The sequence below is a fragment of the Homo sapiens genome, chromosome X, assembly GCF_000001405.40.
Source record: "Homo sapiens chromosome X, GRCh38.p14 Primary Assembly".
Lineage (NCBI taxonomy): Eukaryota > Metazoa > Chordata > Mammalia > Primates > Hominidae > Homo > Homo sapiens.
The window spans coordinates 84,362,534-84,380,527 of NC_000023.11; the positions used below are offsets into that span (position 1 = coordinate 84,362,534).

The 17,994-nt window shown below is 36.3% G+C and overlaps 1 protein-coding gene across 13 annotated transcripts in view; it reads right to left on the bottom strand.

Annotated features, from left to right (window-relative positions):
• The window catches only part of HDX (highly divergent homeobox), a 184,576-nt gene that overhangs the window by 44,656 nt on the left and 121,926 nt on the right, over window positions 1–17,994 (bottom strand). Inside the window, exon 5 of one of the 13 annotated variants that reach the window (XM_047441829.1) lies at window positions 5,531–9,577. The exons of the other annotated variants lie outside the window; for them this stretch is intronic. Coding sequence (XP_047297785.1) covers window positions 9,479–9,577 — 99 coding nt within the window. The 3' untranslated portion in view covers window positions 5,531–9,478. Of the gene's footprint in view, window positions 1–5,530; window positions 9,578–17,994 lie in introns of those variants that run through there. 13 annotated transcript variants of the gene reach the window in all.

Sequence of the window (17,994 nt, forward strand, 5' to 3'; positions counted from 1 at the left end):
CCCTGTGTGTGTGCTTCTGATGAAATAGGGAGAGAAAAAAATGAGAGAGACAGAGAGAGAGAGAGACTGTGAGAGTGAATCTGGGACAACTGTTGCAATTCCTGGCTTGAGGTATGGGGTTCTGTTGCGTTCTTCTGCCTAAGATGATATGATCAAGTCCCACACAGAGGCTAGTCCTCAAATACTCCTTAGACATACAATGTTTTCAACATTTCCTTTCTAACTGAAATTTAAAATGAAACCTCCTAAGTTAGATTCAGGAAACAGTGGAAAATAATATACACAACATATAAAACATGACTTAATAAAAAGGGTTACCATAGCTAAAACTGATGTAATACTAAACAACAGTTGCAAGCATGTTTCTTTTAAAGTTACAAGCTTTTGAATAGTAAATTCAGCCACCGAAAGGAAAATAAATATATGAATTCTTGGTTTACTACCAAGAAAGTGAAGTTAGATTGAATATTTAAAGCATGCTTCTTCATAAGATATATCATATTTTGTGTGTGTGTGCGAATAAATTTCATTATCACCTAAATCTTTTCTCTCCTACTTAAAAAATCCCTGATGAGTAACAGTTATTGTAAGTACTAATACTAAATTACGTTTCCAATAAATGAATCAAAACATGCCATCTAAGTTTTTTTAAATTAAGAAGACTAATCCTCTAGTTATTTACAACGGAAAAGTAACATTAGGTGTTCAGCCAACATTGATTGCACAATAGTTGCAGAGCTAAAATTCTTAGAATAAAACAGAGAGCAAGATAAATTATAGTAAGATTCTATGTAGATTCAAATAATTCATCATCACAGCCAGCATAAATATTCCCATTATTTTCCTTTACATCATATTCTCCAGTGCAAGCTAACATACATAGCTATCATAATGGAAGTGATAATGAATACAACGCTGATCACACTCAGCTAATTAATTTGTAATTCATTTAGAGGACATCCAAACATGATTCATTCTTTAAACTGACCTAAATAAAACCTGATTTGATTTGCTGGAAGTGTGCTGGGGTCTTAGCACTAGCAATGCTAAAGGCAACCTATTATGACAATGCCTGTTAAGAAGCATATAGGGGAAGAGCAGTTATTTTTAAAGTTCCTAAGAGCATATTTTTACTAAGAAAATAAATAAGGTAATACAAGTCAATTCGCAGTAAAACTGTGAATACACATTTAGAGAAGGAAAAAAAAGTGAACATTTAAAAGAAAAGATGAATTTTTTCCCAGGGAAGCTTGAAGTTGAAGTCAGTTTTGTTTTTCTATTGGACTCTCAAGCCACTTTCACTTTGCAAGGCATCATGAAACCTAAACCTGTGGCTGAGGTGAAGGAGGGAGGCAATTATCTTGTTGATTTAGTGAAAAGAGTAGTATTCCAATAACCCAGGCAATCTAGGTGAAAGCTGAAACTTTAGCCAGGTAACCAGATAACTGTACTTAACAAGTGACTTCACTTGGCTTATATTGCAATGTATAATAATAGAAATCTTCTGTTATTTTCTCAGCCTCAAGGACACTTCTAAGAGTTTGGTTCTTTGCTTTTCTTTTTAAAATAACATTAAATGACAACACCGATATAGGGATGCAGAGTTTCCTGTTTTAAGTATGTATCTTGGTTAAATGAGGAGCTGAGTTATATATTTGTACTTAAATGAAACTCCTTTGAAATGACTATTAAAAATCTCTAATTCAACACTGCCCTTTTGAGTGCAGTGTTGAATTAGTGCCAAACAATTGGCATGATACTACAAATCTAAACTTTTCCACTTAATAGTGTGTGTTAGAGATTTTTCTAAATAATCAAAAACAGATATGCCTCAGTCTTTTTTTAGTGACAAGAACACAATGTGACATCAACCTTCCTAACAAAATTTTCAATGTACAATTCAGTATTGTTATTTATAGGCACAACGTCGTACAGCAGATCTCTAGAAGTTATTCACCTTTTTTTTTTTTTTTTTTTTTTTTTTTTGAGATGGAGTCTCGCTCTGTCGCCCAGGCTGGAGTGCAGTGGTACAATCTTGGCTCACTGCAACCTCTGCCTGCCGGATTCAAGCTGATTCTCCTGCCTTAGCCTCCCGAGTAGCCAGGACTACAGGCGCCCGCCTCCACGCCCAGCTAATTTTTTGTATTTTTAGTAAGGATGGGGTTTCACCGGTTATTCACCTTTTATAACTGAAATTTTATACCCGTGGAACAGCAAACTCCCCATTTCCCTCTCCCACTAGCTCCTAGAAACCACTTTTCTGCTCTCTGGTTCTATGAGTTTGACTATTTTAGATTCCTCATATAAGTGGGATCAAGGAGTATCACTCTTTCCGTGCCTAGCTTACTTCACTTAACAAAATGACTTCCGGGTTCATCCATGTTGTCCTGTATGGCAGGATTTCCTTCCTTTTTAAGGTTAAATAAAATTCCATTGTACATATATGAAACATTTTCTCTGTTTTTTTATCCCTCTATGGACATTTAGGTTGTTCCATATTTTGGCTATTGTGAATAATGCTGCAGTAAACATTGGAGGGCAGATATCTTCTTGATATCCTGATTTCTTTTTTTTTCAATACCAGATGTGAGATTGGTGGATAATATGGTAATTCTATTTTTAATTTTTTGTGTACCTCAGTGTTTTTAACTGCCAAATTGTGCTCCATCATCTGGGCACTCCACACTTTAGTTACAGTTATCTATTGATGGACATTATATTTGATGTGAAATTCCTAGCAGTGTGTTTTGATCACCTCCTCTGCTTCCCACTGGTGAGAAAGGGATTTTTGACCTAAAGTCATAGGGATGGCCAAAACCATGACACCCAACACTAGATAGATGAGATCAACAGTAGTGTATTAGTCACATATACTCACAGGCTGAGGACATTTTATGCCATGCAGAGCCATATGGGGCTACACTTAGGAACAGAGTAAACAAGCAGGGTCTGTGGGAGGCAAGCTTTGTAGTAACAAGAAGGTGGTGTAACTCCTGGTTCCCAAAGGAGGATGTGATTGGCTTGTTTGAATCATTCTGTGGACTAGCAGGGAACTGAGGGACTCAGAAATAAATAGGCATTGTGTTTGGTGCCCATGATATAAAGAGCTATTTTAATAGCATATTTTATCTGCTGGAACACAATGGGGAGGCCCATTCGAGGGTCTCCCAGTTTTCCCTGGATGCCAATATGTGCAGAATATGAGGCCTTAATTTTAGGCCTTAGACCACAAAGTGTCATTAGTGAGCCAAAGAGTACGTGCGTTTAAATTAATAAACTAGGTATTGATGGAATGTATCTCAAAATAATAAGAGCTATTTATGACAAACTCACAGTCAATATCATAGTGAATGGGCAAAAGCTGGAAGCATTCCCTTTGAAAACTGGCACAAAGCAAGGATGCCCTCTCTCACCACTCCAATTCAACATAGTATTGGAAGTTCTGGCCAGGGCAATCAGGCAAGAGAAAGAAATAAAGGAATTCAAATAGGAAGAGAGGAAGTCAAATTGTCTCTTTTTGCTGATGACATGATTGTATATTTAGAAAACCCCATTGTCTCAGCCCAAAATCTCCTTAAGCTGATAAGCAACTTCAGCAAAGTCTCAGGATACAAAATCAATGTGCAAAAATCTCAAGCACTCCTATACACCAATAATAGACAAACAGAGACCCAAATCATGAGTGAACTCCGATTCACAATTGCTACAAAGAGAATAAAATACATAGGAATACAACTTACAAGGGATGTGAAGGACCTCTTCAAGGAGAACTACAAACCACTGCTCAAGGAAACAAGAGAGGACACAAACAAATGAAAAACGTTCCATGCTCATGGGTTGGAAGAATCAATATCGTGAAAATGGCCATAGTGCCCAAAGTAATTTATAGACTCAATGCTATTCCCATCAAGCTACCATTGACTTTCTTCACAAAATTAGAAAAAACTACTTTAAATTGCATATGGAAGCAAAAAAGAGCGCATGTAGCCAAGACAATCCTAAGCAAAAAGAACAAAACTGGGGGCATCACGCTACCTGACTTTAAACTATACTACAAAGCTACAGTAAGCAAAACAGCATGGTACTGGTACCAAAACAGACAAATAGACCAATGGAACAGAACAGGGGCCTCAGAAATAACACCACACATCTACAACCAACTGATCTTTGACAAACTTGACAAAAACAAGCAATGGGGAGCAACCCCATTAAACAAGCAACACCCTATTTAATAAATGGTGTTGGGAAAACTTGCTAGCCATATGCAGAAAACTGAAACTGGATCCCTTCCTTACACCTTATACAGAAATTAACTCAAGATGGATTAAAGACTTAAATGTAAGACCTGAAACCATAAAAACTACAGAAGAAAACCTAGGCAATACCATTCAGGACATAGGCATGGGCAAAGACTTCATGACTAAAACACCAAAAGCAATGGAAACAAAAGCCAAAATTGACAAATGGGATCTAATTAAACTAAAGAGCTTCTGCACAGCAAAAGAAACTATCCTCAGAGTGAACAGGCAACCTACAGAATGGGAGAACATTTTTGCAATCTGCCCAGCTGACAAAGGGCTAATATCCAGAATCTACAAAGAACTTCAACAAATTTACAAGAAAAAATCAAACAACTCCATCAAAAAGTGGGTGAAGGATATAAATAAACACTTCTCAAAGAAAGACATTTATGAGGCCAACAAACATATTTAAAAAAAGCTCATCATCACTGGTCATTAGAGAAATGCAAATCAAAACCACAATAAGATACCATCTCACACCAGTTAGAATGGCAATCATTAAAAATTCAGGAAACAGCAGATGCTGGAGAGGATGTGAAGAAATAGGAACGCTTTTACACTGGTGGTGGGAGTGTAAATTAGTTCAACCATTGTGGAAGACAGTGTGGCAATTACTCAAGGATCTAGAACCAGAAATACCATTTGACCCAGCAATCCCATTACTGGGTATATACCCAAAGAATTTTAAATCATTCTACTGTAAAGACACATGCACACTTGTGTTTACTGCAGCACTGTTCACAGTAGCAAAGACTTGCAACCAACCCAAATGTCCATCAAGGATAGACTGGATTAAGAAAATGTGGCACATATATACCATGGAATACAAGGCAGCCATAAAAAAGGATGAGTTCATGTCCTTTGCAGGAGCATGGATGAAGCTGGAAACCATCATTCTCTGCAAACTAACGCAGGAACAGAAAACCAAACACCGCATGTTCTCACTCATAAATGGGAGTTGAACAATGAGAACACATGGACACAGGGAAGGGAACATCACACCACTGAGGCCTGTTGGGGTGTGGGGGTAAGGGAGGGATAGCATTAGGAAAAATACCTAATGTAGATGACGGGTTGATGGGTGCAGCAAACCACCATGGCATGTGTATACCTATGTAACAAATCTGCACGTTCTGCACATGTATCCCAGAACTTAAAGTATAATTTAAACATTAAATAAATATTGTTAAGCTGCCTTTGAATGAAGGCAGAAATGCATGATGGTCCCTTTTTTCCTCTATCTTTTTAAATATTGGGTTTTATTCTACTGTGTAATTTCTGCCAATTTAGTGAAAACATAGCTTCTTATTTTGTTTTCTTGAAGCATAAGGAGGATTAATCATTTTATATGCTTATTGAACATATGCATTTATTTTTATGTTAAATGCTCATTTAAAGAATCATGGTTTTCTTTCTTCTTTATTTTTAAAATTTCTATACTCCTAGTTACCGGAACTGTACTAAACATGTGTTAAAGTGTTGTCTTTTTTACACAATGATATTTTAATCACATTGCATACATTTTTATTATTAGCAAACTTTTACAACTTTAAATTGTGTATGTGACTTTTACAAAATTTTATGCTCCATATATTGTTTCATTCAATTTATTTATTAACACAGTTTCTATCTCCAGTGAAAATGGCTTGTTAACTATATGAGGTGCAATATCAGGTTCTCAAAAGTAAGCCTCTTATGTGACTTTTTCTGGGAAAAAATTAATTTGACTGATGTATTTTTCAAATTGTGGTAAAATATACATAACATTTGCCATTATAAATGCTTTTCAACGTAACATTTGCCATTATAAACCCTTTTCAATCTACAGTTCAGTAGTGTTAAGTATAGTTACACTGTTGTGCCACCCATCTCTAGAACTTTTTCATATCCATTAAACCAGCAGTCCCCAACATTTTTGGCACCAGGGACCAGTTTCATGGAAGACAATTTTTTCCACGGATGAGGGTGGGGTTACCGGGGAGGAGGGTTTCAGGATGAAACTGTTTTACCTCACATCAGCAGGCATTAATTAGATTCTCATAAGGAGTGCACAACCTAGACCCCTTGCATGCACAGTTCACAATAGGGTTCCTGCTCCTATGATAATTGAGTGCCGCCACTGATCTGTCAGGAGGCAGAGCTCAGGCATTAATGCTCATTTGCCTGCTGCTCACCTCCTGCTGTGTGGACTCGTACCAGTCCATGGCTCATGGAGTGGGAACCCTTGCAATAAACTACCCATTTCCCCTCCCCAAACCCCACGCAATGACCATTCTATTAAACCTTCCTTAGCTTAACTACTCTAGATAGCTCATATAAATAAAATAATGAAATATTTGTGTTTATGTAACTGGCTAATTTCACTTAGCATAATGTCCTCAAAGTTTATCTATGTCACAGCATGTGTCAGAATTTCCTTCCTTTGTAAGAATGAATAATATTTCATTGTATGCATGTACCAAATTTTTGTTCATACATTCATTCATTGATGGATATTTAGATTGTTTCCATGTTTTGGCTGTTGTGAATAATGGTATGCATATAGGCATACAAATATCTTTTCAAAACCCTGTTTTTAATTCCTTGGAATATATACCCAGAAGTGGAATTGTTGGATCATAGGGTAATTCTATTTTTCATTTTTTGAGAAACCTCCATACTGTTTTCCCCAGCAGATATACCATCTCACATTCCCACTAACAGTGCATAGAGGTTTTAATTTCTCTATCTCCTCACTAACCCTTGCCATTTTCTGAACATGTGTGCGTGTTTTTGCACCTCTGTGTGTTTTTACAGTAGATATCCTAATTGGTGTGAGGTGAAATCTCATTGAGTCTTTGATTTGCATTTCCCTGTTGATTAGTGATGTTGAGCATCTTTCTATACGCTTGTTGGCTACTTGTACATCTTTTTTGGAGAAGTTCCCATTCAAGTCCTTTGCCCATTGTTTAAATGGGTTATTTGTTTTTGGTATTGAGTTGTAGGAGTTGTAAAAATATATTCCTGATATTAACATCCTTCAATAAGAAAGTTATCTTTTACATTCTAATAGTTTCTGATCCTTGACTTTCTGAAATGTATCTTTGTGGTAGTTAATTTAATGTGTCAATTTGACTGGGCTAAGGGGTGCCCAAGCATTTGGTCAAACATTATTCTGGGTGTGTTGTGAAGATGTTTCTGAATTAGATTAACATATAAATCAGTAGACTGAGTTAAGTAGATTGCCCTTCCTAATGTGAATGGGCCTCATCTATTTAATTGAAGACTGGAACTGAACAAAAAGCCTGAGTATGAAAGAATTCCTCTTGCCTGATTGTTGAGGTGGGACACTCGTGTTTTCTATCCTTTGGACTCAGACTGAAGCATCGGTTCTTCTTGGATCTTGAAGCTGCTGGATTTGGGACTGGAATTTACTGGACTTGGCTTTCCTCGTTCGCAGGCCTTTGGACTGAGACCAATACTACATATCATCTTTCCTTGGTCCCCAGCTTGCAGACTGAGGATTGTGAGACCTCTGCTTTCACAATAGTGGGAGACAATTCTTTATCTCCATCCAATCTATGAGTTCTGTTTCTCTGGAGATCGCTGCCTAATATAAACCACTTACCATCACAAAACTACTTGAAATTTATTCTTGAAAAGAACTTCGTTCAATCTTACAGAATAGGGGTCTGGGCAAGAGTTACCTTTTGGCTTTCAGTCTCTGGAGTTCTGGCATCCAAATCCCTGACCCACTCCTTTCCAAATATACCATATGTGAGAAAGTGCTGTCATTGTCAGTTTATTTATTTTAAAAAGATCAACAGTGAATTCTAGAGTTTCAACTGACATTGCTCGGCTAACATTTTACTTGTCTTACAAGCAGTGTCAATCACAATGCTCTGCTAGGGAAATGTCATACAAATAGAAAATTTCTACTGATAAGCAGAAGTGGAACAAGACCCCCTATTATCATAGCTAAGCTTAAAAGCATTGAATGAAGATAGCTACACTTCTTAAGGAATTCCCTTGAAAAATTAACTAATCCTCTTTGGACAGAATTGAATAAGTTATTTTTATTCTAAACCTAGCAGGAAGTATCTTTAATATGAAATAGAAGAATTGTTGGTAAGCCTCTGTATATAATTGCAAACTTGTCAAAAACAAAACAAAACAAAATATCACATGTAAGGTCCATCATTTCAACATATATGTACAACACTTCTATTCTCCAGCAACAAACATTTAAAGCCAGAAATAGCATAGGTTTTTATTATGTGGAGCACATCGTAAGGGCTTACAACTGGTAACAAATAGAAGCTGAAAATTTTCTCCTCAGTGCAAAACAGTGGGAATCCAGAAAATCCTGTATTTGAATCTCAGTTCTGTCTCTTCCTAGTTGTGAAAAAGTGACTTAATCTCTCTCTGAAGCTTATTTTCATTATGTTAAAATGGGCATAATTCTACCCACCTCAGAGGATTGCTAAAAAAGATTAAATGAGAAAACACATGTAAAATAAATCAGGTTCATATTCATAGCAACCTAGTAAACATGAGCCTTCTTCTGAAACCTACCCCACATACACACACCTGTATCCTAAATGGGAAGAAAAATACAGGTGCTATGAGGGGAGACTAACTTAACAGGAGAATCACAGGTACCTGAGAGAATAAACTGCTTTTTTAGAAAGAGCAGCAATAGCTGAGCATGCTTGGATTTTGCTCCAGCTTCTTTGTGAAGGGCATCTCGTGCTGGCTATTGTTTTGTTCTTTTAGATATTATACATTTCTGTATATTTAAAGCAGGGTGTCACAGCCCCCATGGAACACAGATGTCACTCACATGACAGCTAGCATGTGGAAAAGGTCTGATTTCCTGCCTTGCTGGTATCATCATATCACCATTCAAAGTATCTCAGGTTCACATTTGATGCTTATTGCCTATTTTTATGTGCTCTCTGAGGAGAATTATTCGTTAATGAAATTAAATGTGGGGGCCTAGTACCCTGCTGCGAAGTTCTAGAATTGAACAGCAATCTGCGGCAAGCTCCTGCAATATGGCATCTGGTTGGCTGCCCACTTTCACCATATCTACTGTTAACTTCCTACAGTGATTAGGCACCAGTTATATGTCTCCATTGTTTAGTGATGAGAAAATTGTGGAGAGTTTGGTTAAAAAATAAATCAAAATAGGAAATTTACAAGAAAATGTAATTTGAAAGAATTCTATTGTTGATACAATAAAATAAATCTGTAGATGTCTTCGAATGGCCAGATATAATAAGACAGAACAGCAGCTGTTGAGACAGAAAGAAGTGGGAGTCAAAGAATTATAGAAAAAGAGGGTAGTCATAGTAATAAACTAGGTAGTTCAGCACTAAGGAAAACTTGCATAATTTTCCTTGCATAGCTCTCACAATCTTAAGCCAACATCAGAAAGTGCTGTTACATTTTAAAATATTAAGTATTTTTTTGGCATCATGTACAGTCATCAGGTTACCCATATATATATTTTATATGCAACTTTAAGACATGATTAAAATAACTTTTTGCATAGCCTTAATTAAAAAGAAAAATCAGTGGTAAACCTTTCACTATACAGGATCATTTTGTCAGCTGGCCACTTCACATTATTGAGTATCTACTAGGCATGTGGTACATAAGCACACAGCAAGTTTACATTTGCTTTCACTAAAACTGATGTTTGACCAAGGATTCTGTAATATAAGTTTGAAACCTGCTAGAGTTTTGCATTTTAATTTTTTTCATTTAATCTCATTGCATTGTGTAAGTTCTTTTTTGTTCTTACAGTTTTAAAAAATATTTTAATCTTACAGATCTAAAGCACAACAAATAACTAAAAGCGAGAATTGTTCTTGTAAAATGTAAACTCCCAAAGGTTTATCATAGATATGACTTAGCTGTGTTCTTATCTGTGAATGGGAAAGCTTCTGCAATGTCTACAGAACAATTATTATCACAAAAATTCAGAACTTGATTTACAGTAGGTGAGAGACAAGGCAGTTTAAATTAATAAAATGTTTATATAGCAGAAAATTATCCTGCCATCTCCATCTCTACCCCTAAATCTCCTCAGGTGCTAAGAAATTATAATTACTTTGAAAATGTATATAAAATACTCATAGTTTTAAACTGATAGTGTTAAGATAATCCATGTGATTAAATTGTCTAAATATAGAAATATTTTATTTGCATTAAAATATGTCATTTTTAATAACTTGTGGGTTAATTCATAAAAGCTGATGTTTTCAGAATAGATTAAAACAAAACAACAAAACACATAGGTATTTTCCAAAGAATAAGACCTAGTTTAAGGAAAAGCCATGACATAGCAAACAGGATGTGCCTAACTTACTCATGTTTGAAAGAATGAAAAACAGAGCTATTTTGACGAGGAGCACTTTTGATAGGAAATGTTGCCCCAAATCGGCTTCTATCCATGTATGGAAACACAAGAATCTGTTAGGGAATGTGGGTAGGCAGACATTTGGTTCAGAGTCTTGGCACATTGAAAATTGTGGTAAAAGAATTCAGGTATTTAAAAAAAAGAGGGAATCCTCCCTAACTCATTTTATGAGGCCAGCATCATCCTGATACCAAAGCCTGGCAGAGACACAACCAAAAAAGAGAATTTTAGACCAATATCCTTGATGAATATTGATGCAAAAATCCTCAATAAAATACTGGCAAACCGAATCCAGCAGCTCATCAAAAAGCTTATCCACCATGATCAAGAGGGCTTCATCCCTGGGATGAAGGCTGGTTTAATATACGCAAATCAACAAATGTAATCCAGCATATAAACAGAACCAAAGACAAAAACCACATGATTATCTCAATAGATGCAGAAAAGGCCTTTGACAAAATTCAACAACTCTTCATGCTAAAAACTCTCAATAAATTAGGTATTAATGGGACTTATCTCAAAATAATAAGAGCTATTTATGACAAACCCACAGCCAATATCATACTGATTGTGCAAAAACTGGAAGCATTCCCTTTGAAAACTGGCACAAGACAGGGATGCCCTCTCTCACCACTCCTATTCAACATAGTGTTGGAAGTTCTGGCCAGGGCAATTAGGCAGAAGAAGGAAATAAAGGGTATTCAATTAGGAAAAGAGGAAGTCAAATTGTCCCTGTTTGCAGACGACATGATTGTATATCTAGAAAACCCCATTGTCTCAGCCCAAAATCTCCTTAAGCTGATAAGCAACTTCAGCAAAGTCTCAGGATACAAAATCAATGTACAAAAATCACAAGCATTCTTATACACCAATAATAGACAAACAGAGAGCCAAATCATGAGTGAACTCCCATTCACAATTGCTTAAAAGAGAATAAAATACTTAGGAATCAAACTTACAAGGGATGTGAAGGACCTCTTCAAGGAGAACTACAAACCATTGCTCAATGAAATAAAGGAGGATACAAACAAATGGAAGAACATTCCATGCTCATGGGTAGGAAGAATAAATATCGTGAAAATGGCCATACTGCCCAAGGTAATTTATAGATTCAATGCCATCCCCATCAAGCTACCAATGATCTTCTTCACAGAATTGGAAAAAACTACTTTAAAGTTCATATGGAACCAAAAAAGAGCCTGCATAGCCAAGACAATCCTAAGCCAAAAGAACAAAGCTATAGGCATCATGCTACCTGACTTCAAACTATACTACAAGTCTACAGTAACCAAAACAGCATGGGACTGGTACCAAAACAGAACAGAACAGAGCCCTTGGAAATAACGCCACATATCTACAACTATCTGATCTTTGACTAACCTGAGAAAAACAAGCAATGGGGAAAGGATTCCCTATTTAATAAATGGTGCTGGGAAAACTGGCTAGCCATATGTAGAAAGCTGAAACTGGATCCCTTCATTACACCTTATACAAAAACTAATTCAAGATGGATTAAAGACTTAAACGTTAGACCTAAAACCATAAAAACCCTAGAAGAAAACCTAGGCATTACCATTCAGGACATAGGCATGGGCAAGGACTTCATGTCTAAAACACCAAAAGCAATGGCAACAAAAGCCAAAATTGACAAATGGGATCTAATTAAACTAAAGAGCTTCTGCACAGCAAAAGAAACTACCATCAGAGTGAGCAGGCAACCTACAAAATGGGAGAAAATTTTCACAACCTACTCATCTGACAAAGGGCTAATATCCAGAATCTACAATGAACTCAAACAAATTTACAAGAAAAAAACAAACAACCCCATCAAAAAGTGGGCAAAGGATATGAACAGACACTTCTCAAAAGAAGACATTTATGCAGCCAAAAGACACATGAAAAAATGCTCACCATCACTGGCCATCAGAGAAATGCAAATCAAAATCACAATGAGATACCATCTCACACCAGTTAGAATGGCAATCATTAAAAAGTCAGGAAACAACAGGTGCTGTAGAGGATGTGGAGAAATAGGGACACTTTTACACTGCTGGTGGGACTGTAAACTAGTTCAACCATAGTGGAAGTCAGTGTGGCGATTCCTCAGGGATCTAGAACTAGAAATACCATTTGACCCAGCCATCCCATTACTGGGTATATACCCAAAGGATTATAAATCATGCTGCTATAAAGACACATGCACATGTATGTTTATTGCGGCATTATTCACAATAGCAAAGGCTTGGAACCAACCCAAATGTCCAAAACGATAGACTGGATTAAGAAAATGTGGCACATATACACCATGGAATACTATGCAGCCATGAAACATGATGAGTTCATGTCCTTTGTAGGGACGTGGATGAAATTGGAAATCATCATTCTCAGCAAACTATCACAAGGACAAAAAACCAAACACCGCATTTTCTCACTCATAGATGGGAATTGAACAATGATATCACATGGACACAGGAAGGGGAACATCAAACTCTGGGGACTGTTGTGGGGTGGGGGGAGTGGGGAGGGATAGCATTAGGAGATATACCTAATGCTAAATGACGAGTTAATGGGTGCAGCACACCAGCATGGCACATGTATACATATGTAGCTAACCTGCACATTGTGCACATGTACCCTAAAACTTAAAGTATAATAATAATAAAATAAAAAATACAAATTGAAAAGTGAAAAGTGTATTTGAATCACTTCAAACTTTTTCTTAAAGAAGAAAAACAATTTTTGGCTTAGAAGACAGAACAAGATGGCAGAATAGAAGGCTCGACTGATCATCCCCCTAAAAGGACACTAATTTAACAACTGGAGATTATGATTTAACAACTGGAGATCACCTGCTAGGCCCTAGCTCCCAGACATTTGTATACATGGCCTGTGCCAGAAGGGAACTGTTGCCTTGCAGAAAAGGACCTAGTGCTAGAAGCATCCATGACCTACTAACTGAAGAGCCCTTAGGCCGCGAATAGCTAGCAGCAATATCCAGGTACTACGCCAAGGGTCTTGGGTGAGCCTCTGAGACTTTCTGGCTTCAGGTGAGACTCAGCACATGACTAGCCGTGGGGACTACAAGGTGAAGCTCCTTCTGCTTGAGAAAAGCAGAGGAAAAAATAAAGGGAAATTTGTCTAGCATCTTAGGTACCAGCATGGCCACAACTGGGTAGAGCACAAAGAGGGCCCTTGAGGTCTCTGATTCTAGGACTTGACTCTTCTATGAAATTTCTGGACTTTCCCTGAGCCAGAGGGGAGTGCACTTCCCTGAAAGTTGAGTCTCAGACCAGGCAGCATTCACCATAAACTGACTTAACAGCGCTTGGGTCCTAAGGGAATGTTGGCAGTAGTCTGGCAGTACTTCCATGGTCTGTGGTGTTGGGGGCTACAGGATGAGAGGATGAGGCTCTTTTGCCTTTGGCAAGGGTAGGGAAAAGTGGGAAGGACTGCATCTTGTATTTCTTTTGCACTATTGCCACAGTACAATAGAACAACAGGTAAATTTATTGACTAAAGTTATTGACTCTAGTCCCAGATTCCTGGATGGCACCTCTGGACCCACCTGGGGCCTGGAGAACCTCCCTGCCCTGAAGGGAAGGACCCCGGGTTGGCTTGTTTTGCCACCAGCTGATTGTAGAGCCCCAGGGCCTAGTGCGAACATAGACAGTAGCCAGGGAGTGGTTACAGCAGACCTTGGGAGAGACCACATGTTGTGCTAGCTTCAGGTCTGACCCAATGAAGTCATAGTGATGGTGGCCACAGCAGTGTTTGTGTCACTACACTCCCAGATTTAGGTACTCAGAAAGAGAAAGACTGACCTCGTTTGTTTGGGAAAATGTAAGGGAAGATAATAAGTCTCTGTCTGGTAATTCAGAGAATTATCCCAGACATTGTCAAGACCATGAAGGCAGTACAACTCTGGATCTGCAAGAATCACAGCGTTATTGGTCTTGAGGTGTGCCCAAAGCAGATAGAGCTTAGATTACAACACCCAAGTCCTTTCAAATATCTGGAACTCCTTCCCAAAAAGGATTGACACAACTAAGAACAGACAGTGAAGACTGTAATAAATACCTAACTCTTCAATGTGCAGATACCAAAGAATATGTACTAGCATGAACACAATCCAGGAAAACATGAACTCACCAAATGAAGAAAATAAGACACAAGGGACTAATCCTGGAGAAGCAGAGATATGTTACCTTTCAGACAGAGAATGGAAAGTAGCTATGTTGAGGAAAAAGAAATTCAAGCTCATACAGAGAAGAAATTCAGAATCCTATCAGATAAATTTAACAAAGATACTGAAATAATTAAAACGAATCAAGCAGAAATTCCAGAGCTCAAAATGCAATTGATATACCAAAGAATGCATCAGAGATCTCTAACAACAGAATGAATCAAGCAGAACAAAGAATTAGTGAGCTTGAAGACATGTTATTTAATAATACACAGTCAGAGGGACAAAAGGAAAAAAAAATAAGAAACAATGAAGCACAAATAGAGGATCTAGAAAATAGACTCAAAAGGGCAAATCTAAGAGTTATTGGCCTTAAAGACAGGGTAGATAAAGACATAGAGATATAAAGGTTATTCAAAGGGATAATATCAGAATACTTCCTGAACCTAGAGAATGATATCAATATCCAAGTACAAAAGGTTTATAAATCATCAACTAGATATAACCCAAAGAAGACTACCTCAAGGCATTTACTAATCAAACTCCCAAACATAGATGATAAAGAAAATATCCTAAGAGCAGCAAGAGAAAAGAAACAAAAAACAACAATGAAGCTCCAATACATCTGGCAGCAGACTTTTCAGTGGAAACCTTACAGGCCAGGAGATAGTGGCATGACACATTTAAAGTGCTGAAGAAAAAAATCACTTTTGACCTAGCATAGCATATCCAGCGAAAATTCCCTCCAAACATAAAGAAATAAAGACATTCCCAGATGAACAAAATCTGAGGGTTTCATTAACGCGAGACCTGTTCTGTAAGAAATGTTAAAGGGAGTACTTCAATCAGAAAGAAAATAATGTAAATGAGCAATAAGTAATCACTTTAATCACTCACAGGTAATAGTAAGTACACAGAAAAACACAGAATATTATAACACCATAACTGTGGAGTATAAACTACCCTTATCCTAAGTAGAAAGACTATATGATAAACCGATCAAAAATAATAACTACAAAACCTTTTTAAGACATAGACAGTACAATAAAGTACAATTAGAAACAAAAAGTTAAAAAGCAAGAGAACAAACTTAAGGTGTAGAATATATATTAGTTTTCTTTTGTTTGTTTATGCAAATAGTGTTACATTGTTATAAGGTTAAAATAATGGGTTACAAGATAGTACTTGCAAGCCTCATGATAACCTCAAACAGAAAAGCATACAACAGATACACAAAAAATAAAAAGCAAGAAACTAAATCATCTTACCAGACAAAATCACTTTCTCTAGAGGAAGAAAGGAATGAAAGGAAGAAAGGAAGAGAAGACCACAAAACAAACAGAAAACAAATAACAATGGCAGGAGTAAGTCCTTACTTATTGATAATAACACTGAATGTAAATGGACTAAACTCTCCAACAAAAACACATAGATGACTGAATGGATGAAAAATCAAGATGCATTTCATTAATCTGTTGTCTACAAGAAACACACTTCACCTATAAAGACACATATAGACTGAAAATAAAGAGATGGAAAAAGATGTTTCATACCAATGGAAACCAAAAAAGATTAGGAGTTGCTATACTTATATCAGACAAAGTAGATTTCAAGAAAAAACTGTAAGAAGAAACAAAGAAGGTCACTATATAATAATAAAGGTGTCAATTTAGCAAGAGGATGTAACAATTATATATATAATCAAATTATACATATGATCAAATTTGATTTTATATATATAATCAAATTATATATATGATCAAATTTGATTTTATATATATATAATCAAACCTGGAACACCCATATAGATCTGAAATATTATTAGAGCTAAAGAGAGAGATAGGTCCCAATACAATAATAGCTAGAGACTTCAACACCCCACTTTCATCATTGGACAGGTCTTTCAGACAGCAAATCAACAAAGAAACATTAGACTTGATCTGCACTATACACCAAATGGGTCTAATAGATATTTACAGAACATTTCATCCAAGAGCTGAAGAATATATTCTTTTCCTCAGCACATGGATCATTTTCAAGGATAGACCATATGTGTAATCACAAAAGACACCTTAAAACATTCAAAAAAATGAAATAATATCAAGCATCATCTCTGACCACAAATGAATAAAACTAGAAATCAATAGCAAGAGGAATTTTGTAAATTATGCAAATACAAAGAAAATAAACAATATGCTTCTGAATAACCAGTGGGTAAATAAAGAAATTAAGAAGAAACTTTAAAATTTTTTTGAAACAAATAATAGAAACAAAACATACCAAAACCTATGGGATACAGAAAAGCAGTACTAAGAGTTTATGGCTATAATTGCCTATCTCAAAAAAGGGAAAAATCATCAAATACACAATCTAATAATGCATCTCAAAGAACTAGAAAAGCAAGAAAAATCCAGACTCCAAATTAGTAGAAGAAAATAAATAATAAAGATGAAACCAAAAATGAAATTGAAATGAAGAAAACAATACATCAATGAAACAAAGAGTTGTTTTTATTTTTTGAAAACTTAAGCAACATTGACAAACCTTTAGCGACACTAACAAAAACAAAAAGAGAAGATACAAATAAATAAATCAGAAGTGAAAAAGAAGACAGTACAACTCATACTGCAGAAATTCAAAAGATCACTAGTGGCTACAATGAACAACTATATGCCAATAAATTGAAAAATATAGCAGAAATGTACAAATTCTTACACACATACAACCTACAAAGATTGAACCACAAAGATATCCAAAACCCAAACAGACCAATAACAAGTAACGGGATCAAAGCTGTAATAAGAAAGCCTCCCAATAAAAAAAAAAACCAGGACCCAGTGGTTTCACTGCTCAATTTTGGCAAACATTTAATAAAGACCTAGTACCAATCCTACTTAAACTATTCCAATAAATAGAGGAAGAGAAAATACTTCCAAACTCATTTTATGAAGTCAGTATTATGCTGATATCAAAACCAGATAAAGACACCTCAAAAAAAAAAAGAAAACTGTAAGTCAATATCTCTGATAAATATCGATGTAAACATCCTCAACAAAACACTAGCAAAGAGAATTCAACCAAATATTAGAAATATCGTTCATCCT